At 35.1% G+C, this 19176-nt stretch overlaps 1 protein-coding gene across 10 annotated transcripts in view; it reads left to right on the forward strand.

Annotated features, from left to right (window-relative positions):
- Positions 1 to 19176, forward strand: part of CNTN1 (contactin 1) — a 379977-nt gene that overhangs the window by 192365 nt on the left and 168436 nt on the right. For 2 of the 10 annotated variants that reach the window (XM_011537927.3, XM_017018827.3), the window contains exon 1: positions 8014 to 11306. The exons of 6 other annotated variants lie outside the window; for them this stretch is intronic. The gene's annotated coding sequence lies outside the window, so the exon portion shown is untranslated. Of the gene's footprint in view, positions 1 to 8013; positions 11307 to 19176 lie in introns of those variants that run through there. 2 more of the 10 variants (XM_006719241.3, XM_017018826.3) reach the window with 1 other exon arrangement.

Genomic DNA, 19176 nt, shown 5'->3' on the forward strand with positions numbered 1-19176 from the left:
TGTAATCTTTTTGAAGTTTTTTCCCAATTTACATTTTGCCCTTAAAATTCATTCATAACTTTTATATATACAACTTAAATTTTTTCCTTTGTATTTTCTTATATTCAGGGAGTTGGTGTATTTATTTCCTTTTTAAGTTTCTGTAAGTTAATTTGATTTTTATATTTTGACTTTTAATTCATCTGAGTTTTTGTTGATATATGAAGTGAGATTAGAATGCTTATTGATTTTTTTCTAGCTATTTAGTTGCCTCAGTGCCCTTTATTGAGTCGTATTTCATATCTTTACCTGTTAGCACTTTCACAAATAGAGGATGCAAGCAATATAAATGTAAGCCTGGTTTAAATCTTAATTCCACCACTTACTAGTACCAGAAACACCACAATCCTGGGCAAATTGCTTAACCTACATGACTCAGGTGTTTCATCCCTAAAATGGACACAAAGAAGAACCTATATGAAGGTTTTTGTGAGGGGTGAGATAATACATGTAAGGTGTCTGGCACACAATAAATGCTCAGAAAATGTTAGTTCTTATAGAATCTGTTTGTTCTGTAAAGAACACCATTTTTTATGAAGTTTTTATTATGATTTTCAATTGGTGGGATTATAGTTATTTTATTAGCCTTGAGAAACAATTTGGTAGAGTACTTAAGCACATGGACTCTAGAGCTAAACTGCTTGGTTGTGAATCCCAACATGCCTACTAGTTAACTGTGTGACCTTAGCTACTTCACATCTTTGTGTCTCAATTTCTCTATCTGTAAAATTGAGATATTCATAGCATTTACCATAGAGATTTTCTGTGAGAACTCCAATGAGAATTAAATGTATTTACAGTGGTTAGTAGTAAGTGCTATGTATGCATTAGCTATAATTTGTTCCAAAATAGTCTTAATGTCCTTTTCAAACATTTTTCTTCTCTAATAAATTTGAGACTTATTCTTTCAAGTGTAGAGAAATCCCATTTGTGCTTTGATTGAAAGTATGTCATTTTGGAAAACTTTAAGAATATTGAGTCTTGTTATCAGGAGCTGGTATAGTTTTCCAATTTGTCAATGCTTCTTTTAAGTCTATCAATAAATATTTATAGCTTTTCATTTCTTGTACTGATTATTAAAAGTATTTCTAGGTCATCAATCGTGTGTTTGTTAATACTGCAGGCTGAGGCTTCACCTTTCTTATTTCTAAGTAGACATTGTTAGTACAAAAGAAAACTATAGTTTAGTTTATATTTATCTTCTGCTTAGTCACTTTGCTGAACTCTTAATGTTCATATTTTATTTAAATCCATTTTCTTTGATATCCTGGTCTATAATCATACCGTATGCAAAATAATAGTTCTGCATCCTCTTTTTTGATTGTTGTAAATACAATTTTTGCTTCATTTTGAACTATATTTGCCTAAGCTCCAAAACAGTGCTAAATTCTGTGTTTCCAGTATGGTAGAAGACACTGGGATAAAAAACAGACCAGACAGCGATGGGCCCTGTCTTCACAGTGTTTTAAATCTATTCCCATGGACTTAACATAATATTGATCTATCAAATCCTGTGTGTTGGTTTGCATTATTTAGGGGAGATGTTATATAACCTTCATTAGATTATTAAAAGGGCTTATGGCTGTAAAAGTTAAGAGTCTTTTATCGTAGATTCTGGATATTAGCCCTTTGTCAGAGGAGTAGGTTGCAAAAATTTTCTCCCATCTTGTAGGTTGCCTGTTCACTCTGATGGTAGTTTCTTTTGCTGTGCAGAAGCTCTTTAGTTTAATTAGATCCCATTTGTCAATTTTGGCTTCTGTTGCCATTGCTTTTGGTGTTTTAGACATGAAGTCATTGCCCATGCCTATGTCCTGAATGGTATTGCCTAGGTTTTCTTCTAGGGTTTCTATGGCTTTAGGTCTAACATGTAAGTCTTTAATCCATCTTGAATTAATTTTTGTATAAGGTGTAAGGAAGGGATCCAGTTTCAGCTTTCTACATATGGCTAGCCAGTTTTCCCAGCACCATTTATTAAATAGGGAATCCTTTCCCCATTGCTTGTTTTTCTCAGGCTTGCCAAAGATCAGATAGTTGTAGATATGTGGCATTAATTCTGAGGGCTCTGTTCTGTTCCATTGATCTATATCTCTGTTTTGGTACCAGTACCATGCTGTTTTGGTTACTGTAGCCTTGTAGTGTAGTTTGAAGTCAGGTAGCGTGATGCCTCTGGCTTTGTTCTTTTGGCTTAGGATTGACTTGGCAATGCAGGCTCTTTTTTGGTTCCATATGAACTTTAAAGTAGTTTTTTCCAATTCTGTGAAGAAAGTCATTGGTAGCTTGATGGGGATGGCATTGAATCTATAAATTACCTTGGGCAGTATGGCCATTTTCACGATATTGATTCTTCCTACCCATGAGCATGGAATGTTCTTCCATTTGTTTGTATCCTCTTTTATTTCATTGAGCAGTGGTTTGTAGTTCTCCTTGAAGAGGTCCTTCATGTCCCTTGTAAGTTGGATTCCTAGAATTTACAAGAAAAAAACAAAAAACCCCATCAAAAAGTGGGCGAAGGATGTGAACAGACACTTCTCAAAAGAAGACATTTATGCAGCCAAAAAACACATGAAAAAATGCTCGTCGTCACTGGCCATCAGAGATATGCAAATCAAAACCACAATGAGATACCATCTCACACCATTTAGAATGGCGATCATTAAAAAGTCAGGAAACAACAGGTGCTGGAGAGGATGTGGAGAAATAGGAACACTTTTACACTGTTGGTGGGACTGTAAACTAGTTCAACCCTTGTGGAAGTCAGTGTGGCAATTCCTCAGGGATCTAGAACTAGAAATACCATTTGACCCAGCCATCCCATTACTGGGTATATACCCAAAGGACTATAAATCATGCTGCTATAAAGACACATGCACACGTATGTTTATTGCAGCACTATTCACAATAGCAAAGACTTGGAACCAACCCAAATGTCCAACAACGATAGACTGGATTAAGAAAATGTGGCGCGTATACACCATGGAATACTATGCAGCCATAAAAAATGATGAGTTCATGTCCTTTGTGGGGACATGGATGAAACTGGAAATCATCATTCTCAGCAAACTATCGCAAGGACAAAAAACCAAACACTGCATGTTCTCACTCATAGGTGGGAATTGAACAATGAGAACACGTGGACACAGGAAGGGGAACATCACACTCTGGGGACTGTTGTGGGGTGGGGGGAGGGAGGAGGGATAGCATTAGGAGATATACCTAATGCTAAATGACGAGTTAATGGGTGCAGTACACCAACATGGCACATGTATACATATGTAACAAACCTGCACATTGTGCACATGTACCCTGAAACTTAAAGTATAATAATAATAATAAAGAGTCTTTTATCCTAATTTATAGTGATAAATCAGTCTTATTAATAACCCGATTAATTTTTGTGATGATTTATATGTTCTTATTCACTGTTACGGACTTTTTAAAATTTCAAAATAACTGTGATAGTGTTACCCATTTCCTTATACGTGTACTTTATATATATTTCTAATTACCCATATTCTCAAAAAACAATAACTAATTTTTCATAGAGAAATGTTAAAATATGTCGAAAATAAAAAGACTTTAGGTACATTAATTTACATTTTTAAGAGTCTTATTTTGAGTGTTCAAAAGTAGTACTGGAAACATAATTCAGTCTGTAATCATGGCTTGGTCACCTATGGTTTCTGTAAACATAAATATAAATACAGATATGGTTTACAATCTTAACTTGTTTTAGACTCCCGATTACAACGTAAAGAAATGTGATTAACAACAACAACAAAAAAAGGAAGTATATAGAATTTGGTTTTCTTTTGCCAGGAATTAATCTTTTTGTGGACTGCAGAAATACTGGGGAAAGATAGCTGATTGGTAGGAAAGACAGCAAGGTGTTTACTGGGCCTGATAGAGAGACTACGGGCCCATTTTATCAGTTTAATAAACAGAGTTAAGAGTCTAACAAGCTGGGTGGCTTTCCACAAACAAAACAAGTTTGAGAGTTGCAGCAAAAGGAAGAGATCCTTTCCCCTGATTTAGCATCTAGGAGACAACCATTCAAAGGAGGGATACTCATGTAAAGAACACAGCCTTGCTTCCCCTCCTGCCACTCGGTTCACTCCACAGCGTCTTGCCAGTGGGCGTTCAGGCCTGTGCCAGGGATGCGCTCCATGGAGCCAGTCAGCAGAAATCTCTTGAAAGTATTTTGACTGAAGCTGTAAAAAGTTGAACCATTTGAAAATTCCTTCCCAGGTTATTCTCTGTAAGGGTTAAACCTGCTGCCTTGGGAAATTCACTTCCTATCTGTATACCTGTATTTATAGTGGGAGGGAGATTCTTTAATAGGTTGGTGAGAAGTAGCTGGGCCTATAATTAAAATCACTGCTCTTTATTAACTAGATTTTAGCCATAATGTTGAGTGGAAAAAACAAAGATGGGGGATGTGATAAGTGATTAGAAAGAAAACAAAACAAAATTGTTAAGAGTCAAATATAGTGGTCCAGTTTGAATGGAATTGAAGGAAAGAAAAGGGGCAATTGGAATGTCATTGCTTCTCTTTTCAGTCTCTTCAATTTATCCCTTTACATATTCTGTACAAATACTAAGCAATTTTTTTAGATAAGTGGCATAGTTATAACTCTCAAAACAATTTGCTAATTTATACGTTCAGGAATTTAAAAACTGTTTACTAAGCATTTCCCATGTGATAGGTGTTGTGGTAGGTTCTCGGGTTTTTGAAGCCCCAAATCAATGGGAGAGTCAGACACTGAGAATTATTTAATCATAAAATGTAATACTCATCCTTAAAGAAGGGCAGAAATGGTATAAATCTCAATGTATTATTATGAGTATTAAAAAAAGATAATTCACATAAAGAACTGGCAGTGATCGTGGCAGTTTACCTATCATATGTACTCCAGTGATGAGAAGAATCATGAAGACGAGCATTATGCTGAGGATGAAGATGTTAGGGGACAGGTACTGCCATTTATTATCATTGGCAAGCTGCTTGACTTCTCTAAACCTCATTTCTCGATGTGTTAGTTGGAGTCAATAATAGTTACCTACACGTAATTTTGAAGATTAAAGGTATTTGTGAACCACCGGTATTTGAAACAGTGGGTGTTCTATAATTGAGTTATTTCCTTTACTAGACTCCTATCCATGCGATATTAATCTCTAATACTATATGGATATTATCAATAAAAAAGAAATACAGATACATGAGTGGTATATTCTGAGAATAACATTAGATATGGACTATCTCTAAGGTCATTTTTAAACAGAGCGAATATCACCTTTCCTGTGACTCCCCACTGTACTTTATTTCTCCTTATAATTTTGTTATTTTTTAATAGACTTTAAGAGTTTTAGGTTTACAGCAAAGTTGAGCAGAAATAACAGCGAGTTCTCATATACCCCTTGTCTCCTCACACATAGCCTCCCCCACTGTCAACATCCCGCACCAAAGTGGTACAGTTGTTAAAATCGATGAACCCGCACTGATACATTATTATCAACTGAAGTCCTTAGTTTACATTAGGGTTACTCTTGCTGTTGTACATCCTATGGATTTGCATGAATTTATAATGATAGTATCATACAGAATAGTTTCACTGCCCTAAAAATCTTCTGTGCCACTGCATTCCAGCTCTGTGATCTCCCTATTCATTTCTCCCTCCTTGCTAACCCCTAGGAAACACTGATTATTTTACTGTCTCTGTGGTGTTGCCTTTTCCAGAATGTCATATAGTTGAAATCATACAGTATATAGTCTTTTCATATTGAATTCTTTCACTTAGTAATATGCATTTAAGTTTCCTTAATATATTCTCCTGGCTTGACAGCTCATTTCTTTTTAGTGCTAAATAATACTCCATGGCCTCGTTGTACCACAGGTTATTTATTGATTCCTCTACTAAAGGATGGGTTTCAATTTTTGGCAATTATTAATTAAGGTGCTATAAACATCCTTGTGCCAGTTTTTGTACTGACATACATTTTCAACTTCTTTGTGTAAATACTAAGGAGTGTGATTGCTGGATCATATGGTAAGAATATGTTTAACTCTGTTAGAAACTGCCAAACTGTCTTCCCAAGTGGCTGAACCATTTTGCATTTCTACCAGTAGTAAACGAGAGTTCCTGTTCTTCCACATCAAATGCTAGTGAGGATATGGAACAGCAGGAACCAACAACATTTGGTGTTAGATTTTTGCCATTTGAATTGGTATGTAGTGATATCTTTTTATCATTTTAATGTGCAATTTCCTGATGATATATGATGTTGAGCATCTCTTCATATATTGATTTGCCATTTGTTTATCTTCTTTGGTGAGATGTCTCTTCAGGAATTTTGACCGTTTTCTAGTTGAGTTGTTTGTATTCCTATTTTTAAGTTTTAAGAATTTTTGCATATTTTGGATAACACTCCTTTATCAGATGTTTTCACAAATATTTGTCCCTGCCTATGGCTTGTCTTCTCCTTCTCTTGACCGTGTCTTTTGCAGAGCAGGAATTTTAAATTTTAATGAAGTCCTGCTTTGCAATTCTGGTTTTCATGGATTCTGCCTTTATTGCTATATCAAAGAAGTTTGGATTCTGCCCCTATTGCTATACCAAAGAAGTTATTTCCATACCTACTTTCTCCTAGGTTACCTTGTAGGAGTTTTATAGTTTTGCATTTTAAATTTAGGTCCCTGACTCATTTTGAGTTAGTTTTTGTGAAGAGTGTAAGGTACGTAGCTAAATTTTTTTTGTTGTTGCGCATGGATGTCCAGTTATTTTAACACAATTTGTTGAAATGACTGTTTCTTAATTAAATTGCCTTTGTTTCTTTGTCAAAAGTCAGTTGATTATCTTTATATGATTCTATATTTGAACTCTCTATTCTGTTCCATTGATCTATGTATCTGTATTTTTCACCAGTACCACAGTATCTTGGTGACCATAGCTTTATAGTCTTTATGGCTTTAAGTCTTGAGGTTGGACAGTGTCCGTCCTCCAGCTTTGCTCTTTTTCTTCAATATTTTGTTGACTATTCTGCTTCTCTATGTAAACCTTAGAATCACTGTCAATGTAAACAAAATAACTTGCTGCAGCTTTGATTGGAATTGTATTGAATCTGTAGATCAAGCTGGGCAGAACTGATATCTTGACAATTTTGAATTTCCCTCACTATGTTTTTATCTTTGTGTTTTACCTAAATATTTGTTCAAGGAAAGAATAATTTGAACTTTTCCATACTAGAGCCCTGTCTAAAACGTTTACCCTCTTTGCTATCCTTAGTTTTGGTCAAATAACTAGTTGGCTGTGAAGGCTGAGCAAAGATCTACCACTAAGAATTTGTATTGTGAGCCTGTCTGAAGGTGAATGATGTATAGACTGGATGCGAATAGCAAAAAGTGATAAGAAAGACATAGCTACAGTGGAAATGAGCTTCTCTCAGGGTCTAAAATCTGTTACTCTGCATACTCCTTAAAGTGTTGCTCTCAATGGATTTTGTTTGTTTGTTTGTTTCGTAAAATAATATGTGTATTCCAGATGAATCCAGGAAGTTTCTCATTCTAAGAAAAACACTAAATCCCAGCCACATTAGAATTTTTCCATGAGAGGCTGTATTAGGTTACTGACTCCTATTAAAATAAAAATATTAATTACAGAAAACAAAATGGAATCATTCCCAAAGAAGGAGACACAACAAGAAGAGATGAAAAATCATAGCCAAACAATCATTATCACTGGCATATCGGAAATAGTACCTGACTTAGTTAAGATATTGTGCTTCGACAGGAATGCTAATCATGTTTCAGGACATAACTTGTCCAAAAACTATATACTCACAGCTTCCGGAAGGGAAGTCCACTTCTGCAAGGGCAAGAGATTTGAAACCTGAAACTTTGTAATTTTTTTGCTGACAGGGTTGGAGGGTGATTTGCTAACATCTCATTATACAATGTATGTTAAGAGAAATGTAAAGGTCAAAACATGGTGCTTTTTGTTTCTGCTGGAGTGCTCAGTCAGAGAGATTCAGTTCAGCACAATATCAATCATTACAAATTCTTCCCCGAAATTCAAGACACATTAATCAAAACAAATGGAACTCAAGAAAAATGAAAACTGGGGGGGGTGAATAAACAAATACATGATTGAGTTGAAAACATAAAAATATTTATTAAAATACCAAAAATATTAAATAGAAACATTCTGATGTAATGATTTCTGATACAGTTCAAACTTAAATAAAGAATGTATGGTCACATAAAATGTAAGTAAGTATATCACCTTTCACCTAAAGTTTTCCAGTTAAATGCAAAACCTTCCTCTTTACCCTAACTAGGTAGATAATTATATCACTCTGCATAGTCATGTTAGGAGTTTAATTTTCAAGCTAAATCAAAATCACTTAAAATGTCAATGATAGTTTAAAATTTAAGAATAGAAATTTGGACATATCAAACTCAAAATTGATGCTTTATTGAAAAAAACTAAATGTCTTTAAATTGCTATAACAAACTTTATATGTTCAAAATTAGTTAACAAAAATAAAAGAGGACAAATTTCTGCATTCTTCAACCTCCAAATTTCTAATATCTTTATTCTAAGAAACTGCAGCTATTGTAGTGATATTCCTTCAATCCTGAAAACACTCAGGAAGCAATTTTTTTTAAATGTTTTACCTTGGCAGGAACTTTAGATCACAAGTCAAAGGTATCTCTTCTAAACTTGTAAAGAAAGTAAACAATCTACCAAGAGAACAAACAGCTCCCAATAGATACAGCTCTTACTGCTTCCTCCCCTTATTTTGTTTCTTTTAGTTAGAGAGCCATGACAAAGGAAAAACAAAATAATTTCAGATTTATATTTCTGTTGCTTCTTTTTTCTTCCTTCCATTTTGTTCATTGCATAAAACAAATTGATTAGGAGGTTCTCTTGCTGGGCTTCAAATATCATTAATATGTAGATGACTTCCAAGTAGCTATCCCCCACTCCTGTCTGACTTCTAAATTCTGGTCTTATTTATTCAAATGTTTACCTAGTATCTCCACTTGAATGTCTAATGGGAAACTCAAATATAATACGTTCAAAACTAAATTATTGGTCAACTCACTTTCCCATCAAAACTCAAGTTCCCCTTTGTTGAATAGCAACATCCTTACACTCTAATAGCCACCCCAAAAGGCAAACACTCATCCCTGAATTCCTCCCTTTTCCTCATTGTCTGTTCCAATATCTCTACAGGTACTAAGCAGTCAATGTTTATCTTTCACTGGTTCATACCCTCCTTGAAGCCAAGAACCATATTTCTTGGATCTGTTAAATCCCTAGGACCTTTAAAGATTTTAAAACAAATAAAATTACCTATATAACAGCTTCTTCATTTGCTAAGCAAATGATTACTTTTACATACCTACATTGCAAGTGATACTGGCACTTCACTGCATTGAAGAAGTCACTAGATCTTGAAAGATAAGCTCTATTGTATCCTTCCTCCCAATTGTTAAAACCCACAGCAGATATACATGAAGAGTGAATGTTGATTTAAACTGTGAACTTTAGTTAATAATAATGTATTAATATTAGCTCATCAATTGTAACAAATCGACTACAGTAACGCAAAATGTTAATGGAGAAACTATACAGGAGAGAAGGGATATATGGAAACTCTCTGTACTTTCTGTTCAATTTTCTTTAAGTCTAAAACTGTTCTGAAAATAACATATAAAATATGTCACAGAAAAAATATTTCTCTCATTTTATGCCATTGTATTCTCAAGACATCTAGAGACCCATTTTTTCTCCAGTCCCCAATGCCTTGTCTTTTAATACCTAACTTTTTATTTAATATTTTATCTATTAGCTGAGTATATTTCATTTCCCTTCCCACAAGTGAAAATAGATAATATATAATGCTGGCTTCATGAAGACTTATGAAGAAATCAATTCTATGAAATAAAAATATTTCTGAATGAGTTTATTACAACTGAGTGGGGAATTTGAGTGTCATTTCTAGAGAATTTGGTCCATATAAATTCAGTCTTGGCAGCTAGCCATTAGGGGTTTTTGAACTGGCATATTTGAGAAGTGTTCTAACTTCTCAGTGGAATAAAGAAGAGGGGAAAGAACATTATAGAATGATTCTTTTCTTTAATAAATTTCCATATAAAAGGGTTTTGAAAGTCTGGCCTCAAGGTAATTCCAGAAATAGATTTCAAAGACTGCGACTCAAGTTTCTGTGTTATAGTAAGCTTAAGTTTTATAAAGTGTCAAATTGATGATCAGTTATATGGAAGCCTCTATTTATAATAGTATAGTCCATTTTTATACTACTTTTAATTTGCAAAGGTGCTTTCATATATTATCTTATTTGGTATTCATAGTCATCCTGGGAAAATTGTAGAACAGATGCTAACTCCTAAATAGATAACCACAATTTCACAAAGTAAAGAAAAAGAAATGCATGGAAGTATCCTCAGTCCAATTTTATCAGTCCATTTTCTATTGCTTCAAAACACCTGCAACTAGGTAAGTTATAAAGACAAGAAATTTATTTCCTACAGTTATGGAGGCTGAGAAGTCCAAGGTTGAGGGGCCATATCTGGTGAGAGCCTCCTTGCTGGTGGGGACTCCGTAGAGTCCTGTGGCAGCAGCAACACAGGGCGTCATGTGGTGAAGGGACTGCGTGTGCTCGGGTGTTTGCTCAGGTCTCTCTTCCTCTTCTTGTAGAGCCACCAGGCCTACTCCCATGATAACCCATGAATCCATTAATCCATGAATGGATTAAAATTCAATCACCTCTTTAAGGTCTCCTCTTTAAATACTGTCATGTTAGGGAATGTTTCCAACACATGAAATCTGGGGGACACAAGAAAACCATAGCACCAATGTTAACCATTTAATAGTAATTCTTGTGCTTCAAGATTTTTTTTTTTTTTTTTTTTGAGACGGAGTCTGGCTCTGTCGCCCAGGCTGGAGTGCAGTGGCGCGATCTTGGCTCACTGCAAGCTCCGCCTCCCGGGTTCACGCCATTCTCCTGCCTCAGCCTCCCGAGTAGCTGGGACTACAGGCGGCTGCCACCATGCCCAGCTAATTTTTTTTTTTTTGTATTTTTTTAGTAGAGACGGGGTTTCACCGTGTTAGCCAAGATGGTCTCGATCTCCTGACTTCGTGATCCGCCCGCCTCGACCTCCCAAAGTGCTGGGATTACAGGCGTGAGCCACCGTGCCCGGCCGCTTCAAGATTTCTTAATGAAGGTAGTTGCATCGATGTTCATAGGTGCTTTTCTTTTAATTATCAGCTCTATTCTAAGACACCTAAATCTTCTGAACACACACACACTTACATGCTGACACACACATGCTGACACATGCTTACACTTATGCACATGTATTTATTAATCACACACTGTGCAAAGTATTTAAGCCCCAATAGGAATATAAAGATATGTATAAGGTATGTTTTTTTTTCCCTCTCTCTCAGAAACTTATAGTATAGTTAGGGGTAAAGAGAAATGATCACAGGTATCTTACATACATTTTTTATATAATTCTCAGAAGTATGTATTATATTACTATTCCCATTGTACAAACACTGAAATGACTTGCCTAAATCCACTGAGCCATGTGCATCACTTCTGACTAGACTCACAGTCTGTACCCTTGTCTCCTAGCCTCACTGCCTTTTGATAATATAAACATCTAAAATGCTATGAACATAGGCTCAGATTTCCTAGGACAGTTTTATAGTTGGTTATTGTGTTCTATTTATTGTCCATTAAGACATATCAGAAACACCAAATTTCGACAAAGAAAATACTTCTCCAAAATACTTTCTTTCCTCAACCTTTTAAGTTGTCCTCAAATATATTTTTTCTAATTCAGTTTCCCAATATTCAACTGGAAGTGGCCTTGCATTTAAAAAGTAAGCAAGAATATAATAATAAGATACCAGCAGGTGAGACAAAGGACCACTTGAAGATTTTTGACAAGGGAGAAGACCTCAGAGGAGGAGGTTGTCTGAGGAGACACTTTCCTATAAAGATAAAATTTAATCTGGATCCTGAAATAGAGTTGAAATTCTTATTTTCTCATTTACAAACTGAAGCTAATAATAGTAGCTACATCATTTGTTTAGATGAAAATTGAGTTAATACTTAGGCTTTTAAAACAGAGCCTGACTTAGAAGTTGGAAGATGGAGTACATATATCTTAACTACTAAGCTAAATGTTTTTATCTTTTAATTTCTATTGCCTAGCATAATGCCTAACACATAAAAGTATTTAATAGATAATTGTTGAATGAATGATGAAATGATAGTGTATCATTGGTAAATTTTGAGTCAGAGAGTATAGTAAGAGAATTATAGTTTTTGGAGGTCAAATTGACATTTGTATTGTTCACTAAGCTTCAGAGATTTGGATATATGTTCTTTACAATAATAAATGCTTAGACTGTTTCCTCTTGGTGGAAGGGATCAAAAGGTAGATCCATCAAGTTTTCTCTAAAGCTTCTGCCTAACTAGGTGCTAAGCTTTTGAAGTTTGAGAATTTGCTTCTACTGTTATTACTAACTGGGGCTTGTATGAAGCATTTCACATAGCAGGTACTCAGGAAGTATTGATTGATTGATAAGACTTGGATTTGATACAAGGAAATAGTTGCTTACATTCAGGGAGAATAATTAAAGATACCAGAAACTATAGAATCACTTTCCTTTAGATACCAGTTTTTGTATAATATACATCTCTTTCTGTAATTTCATATGACCGGAGGCATGTATTGACCCTTGCCCTACTGACAAATTAATTAATATTTGATATAAATTCGAATAAAAAGGAACAAAGCTCTCTGTATAGCCCAAGACCGTGTTGTGGATATAAGTCTGAAACCTCAATGGTTTGGGGGCACCAGGTTAAGGTAGCCCCGTAATTTCCCCAGTATCTGTTCTGGTAATGAAACCTTTAAAAGGAGCCAGAAGAGCAGAGCCTTCATAAACCAAAGCACTTAGGATTAAATATTATGATGATATTTTCTTGTAGAACTATTCAACAACTCTCTGTGAAAGAAACAAAAGTTCAACACATGGCATTTAAGGTGCCATGATTTTAACACACTTCTCTTTCTCAAATATTTTCACGAGTATATGCCCTAGCCATGCTTATTCTTCAAGGGTCTCTGAATTTGACCTTTATTATTCTCCTTTCTCTATTGCTACTTCCTCCTGGATCTGCTTGCCAAGTATGGAACAATAATTTGTTTTTAGTAATTTCTCAATAAACATATTCAACAGATTTTAATGGAGTATCTTTGATGTGTTAGGCATCATGTTATATGATGTGGGGGGTATAGAAAAAGGAATGAGATAATCTGCTGTTGAGGAGCTTGTAATTTAGAAATTCCCTCCCTGAATAAATCTCTTTGATTTACCAGTACTTATGCTACTGCTACAATATGTCTGGACATGGTAGATACTTAAGAAATATGTATGCAATAAATTAATAAATAATTTTAAATTACCATTCATCTTCCCTTATAGGATTACTTTGTTATATATTCTTCAAAGAAAATGTAATGCATTTCTTGGTCTTCGAACGGGTTTTGAATAAAAACAGATGTCTGCATGGTTAAATTGCACAATCATTGAGATTAACTTATATATGTTTCAAATATAAATACTTGAACAGTTTTAATTGAATTGAAGTGAATTTAACATAAAATTCTCTTATGTTCTTTCTAGAAATGAGGGCCTAAATAATTTTGGTATGAATCACTTATCAGTTTAAGTACTGATACAATGACCTGTATTCAATGACTCTTTTACCTAAAAAACAGAATGTCAATGATTACATCATGCTCCCAGGAGGACTGTACCTTCCATGTTGACGTCTCTTAATCTGAACAGCAGCTAATAGGAGTTATGAGATCATCAGTCTCATTCTCCCTTCAGGGGTGGTCTCGTGTCAGAAGACACTCAGAAGTTTTGTGTACCTTTAGATTTGTGAAGTGGAATAAATGCCTGATATTTTAACAAAGATATTCAGATACTGTGCAGCATGCAGCAGCCTCGAGCATCATAATCCTATGCAGCAGCATTAGGTAGAACGACTTAGAGTGGAACCTCAGAAAGCACAGTGGCAGCAGTGATGAAGCCTTCTTATTAGATGTGGGCATCTCCACAGTGGAGTAAGGCCATACAAAGGGATTATTACAGCACAGGAAGTCTTTAAAACTCTCAGGGTACATTGAGTGAGCTCTTGGATCTGGCACTATTTCTTTACAGGTCTTATCCTTTTATGCTTATATGTGAGAGCAAAAGAGAAAGGAGTTTGAACATTCTATCCTGCTGACATAGGATTTTTTTCTGCTGTATTAAATTCAAAATTCTACTTTGGATCTAGATATGATTCACAGGTATCACAAAGCATATTTCTTTTGTAGTAGTCTACCAATCTCAGATCGGTTTGAATTGCAGTTGAGCAACAATGGTAGTTAAAACACATTCAATCAGGTCATTATCGTCCAATAAGACAGTCTCACATAAAAGTCAGAAACCTTCTAGTTATTAGTCAAAGCAATACATCAGAATGCCTTGTTTATTATGATATGGCAAAATGAATCAGATGTAGACATAGAGGATATTTATTCATCATGTAGACCAAATGCCACACAAAATATACCATAGACATAATTTTAAGAGACAGACTATTAAATATCATGCATCTTCTAATTTTTAGAGATGTGTTGGCTGAACGTGTGGCCCTGGAACACATTTGCATGCACATAGATACCTATACATTGTTCTCTGTGAGCAACGAAAATATTCCAACCTTCACTTAACATACTTACTACGACAATCCTTGAACTTTAGTATGCCTACAAATTTCCCGGAAAACTTGATTAAAATGAAAATATTAAGACTATTCTTCAAGAGTTGCTCAGAAATCGATCTTAACAATCACGTGCCAAGTGCTGTTAATGTAGGTGGCCCTTGGACCACAGTTTGGGAAACACTGACTTATTGTTATGAAAAATATGTTAATTATTAAATATGCAAAATACTGGTTTTTTAAATAATCTAAAGCAAAGACAGATACTAAGTATCTTTTAAAAAAATTAAGTAATAAACGATAAGGGATTTAAATCTGTACGGAATAGAAACCCTTGCTCTGTGCTCTGTTACTAGCTATTTGTATTAGAGCAATCCATGTAATCCCTTTAAGTCAGTCCATCTCTAGAAATGGCTGCTGAGGAGAAAAAAATCTTAAGGCTTTGACAGATATGGATGTTAATTAAGTGCTGACAGGACGGCATGCATTTTACAGAACAACTGACTGCTTACATTTTTGTATAATTGGATTTATAATTAAATTAATTGCTCATTTATTTTTGAAATGATGTAATGCAAGCAGAGGAATGTAAAAATAGTGAAACTTTATTTGTGATATTTATAGCATATATTTTTACTGGGATAATTTAAGCCCATGGTGTCACACAGGACTATAATTGCTACAGCCACACGTATTCCCTGGAATTTCAGGAAACCATCATTTTTAGGTGGTAGCAAAAATAGGAAGGCCCACATAGATTTTTGTCCTACATTTTGGGAGTGTGTGTGTGTATGGTTAGGTGCCTTGTAAAGTTTGAGAAAATGCAGAAAAGCCCTGCTGATTCCAAACTATCTTGCCTGTGGAACTGATAAGGTACCAACTCCACACAGTTATTTTGCTTAGAATTACAAAATTTGACATGCTAATGGAAAATGGAGATAGTAATAATGAACAAATCAAGTGATATTATTTCTTGCTTATCAGCAATGCTGAGAATTACTGATTCAATCAATGAACAAAAGAGGCACTGTTTTAGCAAGCAAGATTTAGAACTCACAAATGTATTTACGAGATTCCACTCAACCTCTTTCCTATCAGTATATTAATAAGAATCAGTTTATTACTCAAGGGCAAAGCTATATTTTAGGTTTGGCAAATAATTGCTGCTTAAAATATTAAATGAATATTAAAGGAAAGATAAAACATGGTAGATAGGTTTCAGTAGGAGTTGCAAAGGATGAGGGGATGTGAAACTGACAACCGCTCTGTTGTCGATGATTTACATGAAGAATCTGTGTAGAAGAGATTGAAGGGAGCCAGGCAATTAATGGGAGTACTGAAGGTGACACAGTAACCTCAGATACATAAATGCAGTAGGAAGTAACAAGCATATCTGCTTAAAATCTTATAAGCCACTAACTTGTACATTTTCGTATCTGATCCTGACCAAATCTCTCACATTTCTAGAGCTGTACTGAGTTAATAGGGATCGTGTAGATTGCCCAAAAATGCATAGCTAGTAATACAGCCAGGGTTTGAATCCTTTTATTCTAGACACATTTAAATTCTCTATGTTTTAGTAGTTTTTTAAAAAGATATTTAAAATCCGTTCTTGATCTAGATCATAAAAAGGATTTTTTATATTCAAAAATTAGCATATTTTTAATAACGCTAAGTCAGTGTTTTCCAAAATGTGGTCCAGGGTCCACTTAACACCATTTGGGGTGCACTTGTTAATTAGACAGATTCCTGAGTAAATCGCAAGATAATAAGGATTTCTATGGAAATAGCTCAAGCATCTGATTTTAATCAAGCTTCCTAAGTAATTTGTAGGCATACTAAAGTTCAAGAATTATTGTAGTAAGTGTGCCAAGTGAAGGTTGGAATGTTTGATACTCTGGGGATGTTACATTTCATGAGATGTTTTAGAATGTGTTGTATTGCTCCTCTTTCATGTATACGGCACACACATTCAAGTGACAGGCTGTTTGAGGGGCTAAGGCTGTTGCCATCTGAAGACCAATGCAGCTCTATCTGCTCATTGAACAACATATTTTATTCTGACAATGGAAGGATACTGTTTGTAATCATTTGCAGAAAAGGGGGTATTCTCCTTGTGTGTGTACTGTATTCCTTGGCTTAGAACAGTATGGTCTTCAGAAATTTTTATGAAATGTATTTGACCACTGCAATAAGCTGCTTAAACATTGTTAATGACTTCATAGAAAATGGTTAGACTTTTGTTTATAGAGTGTAAAGAAATCAGTGTGAGGCTGATCTAAAACATACCATTAGTCAGTTAAAGGGGGTTTCATCACCTATATTTAAATTGTATTTAATAATCCAAAAATTAACTGGAGAGAGATAATATTTATATGAAAGTGCTTAATTGACTTTGTATTTCATTGTATAGTATCCCCTTTTAAAGGGGTAGCAATTTTAAAATTCAAAACTAGTTTTATTTCCAGAAAATTTCATGTATTCGTTTCATGCATTTCACTTTTATGTACATATGCTGCAAAGCTTTACATCCACACACACATATCCATATACATGCATTACCTAAACCTCACAATAACACTCTTAGTAGGAACTTGGATCTTCATTTTAAAGACTGACACCTCAGAAGATGAAGGGACTTGAGCAGCAGAGGAAGAATTTCAGATCGAGTCTGAGAGGAAATTGTCCCTCAGTTTTGAATTGTAGAGTAGGAGATATTGGTGTCTTTTTGTCTGGAATAATATGTGCTTAACTTGAATAAGCTTCTGATAATCTCTTGGAAATAGAACTTTGTAGTGAATGTTGTTCAACATCAAATTTTAGGTTAAATATTTTTTTAAAAAATGAACTTTCACGAGGTTGAAATAGAGGTACAATTTATGGATAAAGGCACATTTTTTTGTACCTGATGTGCCAAAAAATTTTTTTTGTAAAAGTGATATGACCATTTGCTGATATATATGAATATTTCTTCAATATTCTTGAGATGTTCTCTGTCAATGTAAATGATTGTCTAATCATCAGTGCGATGAAAAGCTAGTTTCATTTGTCATGATGGAACACACTTTCATTACATAGCAGTACTAAATTCTTTGTAAATAATAGTTGCTAATATATTGTTGAAGCATTTTATAATAATTTATTTGGACTATCCAGCACCAGAATAAAACATGACAAGAGCTAGATGGAGGTCTGTCCAGCAGAAAAATGCATATCTAGATATAGGACAGATTTCTCAAATGAGAAAACCCTAGTGTTGTCTAAAGGAAAGAGGGAGCAGGAAGAAGAATGACAAGTAGAGGAAGAGAGAAGGAGAAAGAAAGACGAAGATGTGTCATACTGCCTTGCCTTACTATATTGAGAAGTGCTGTTGTTTTAAAATATGTGTAAGAGATTTAGTAAAGGATGCTGGAGAACAGAAGGTGAATTCTCCTGGAAATTAACAGAGTGCCAGTCCATGTCAGGGATCCATCAGTCATGGAGACCCACAGAGCTGCATGAGGTTGTGAGATGCAGCAGCAGCAGCAGCAGTACCTGGCATAAGGCCTGGCTGGGTGTACAAGAGGTCACAGGGCTCTGAAGGCTGACACGTTCAGGGAGCTGGCCAGCACAGCATGGCCTCAGGAACAGGAATGCACCCCCAGTTCCTGCTTCTGGTCCTTCTGTTATTTCAGTTGTTGAGAAGAAACAAGTCTGCTCCTGTGACTGGCACATGTTTGTCAGAGTTGCTTTTTTTTTTTTTTTTGCCTCTGTCACTTCATTTTTTGCAACACTTTCAGGTCCATGGAGGTCAGGGGGCTAGCTGTGAATTACTAAGTGGTGTGGCCTCAAGAGAGAAGTAGTAGGGGCAGTTTCTTCCACATTAGTAGGATGGGCTCAGCTTGCTGCCTTCTCTACTGTGCTGCTGAAGGATGTGATCAGAGAGTCACAAATGATGGGATAACTGGTGACACAATAGAACAGATCACCAGCAGAAAAATAAATGTGTGAACAACATATGAAAGATACTTTTATACCCGAATGGCAAGAAATCTATATCATAAAATAAATTACATGCTGCTGGGGGATGTCTCACTGTCCTAATGAAAGACAAAACATTTTGAAGTGAAGGAAAAGATAGCATGGAATAACACAGAGAGGCTCAAAATAATGAAAATAACTTTTCATTCTGATTAGAGTGTACATATTCAGAACTGGAAAACAGACTTCCAGTAATGCCCAATAAACCACATATTTCAAAATGCTTTTAAATATTGATACTTAAAATATCCTTTTCTGGAGTATATTTATAAACTGCAGGAATCCCTAACAAGGATCAAA

This window comes from Homo sapiens, chromosome 12, assembly GCF_000001405.40.
Source record: "Homo sapiens chromosome 12, GRCh38.p14 Primary Assembly".
Classification (NCBI taxonomy): Eukaryota; Metazoa; Chordata; class Mammalia; order Primates; family Hominidae; genus Homo; species Homo sapiens.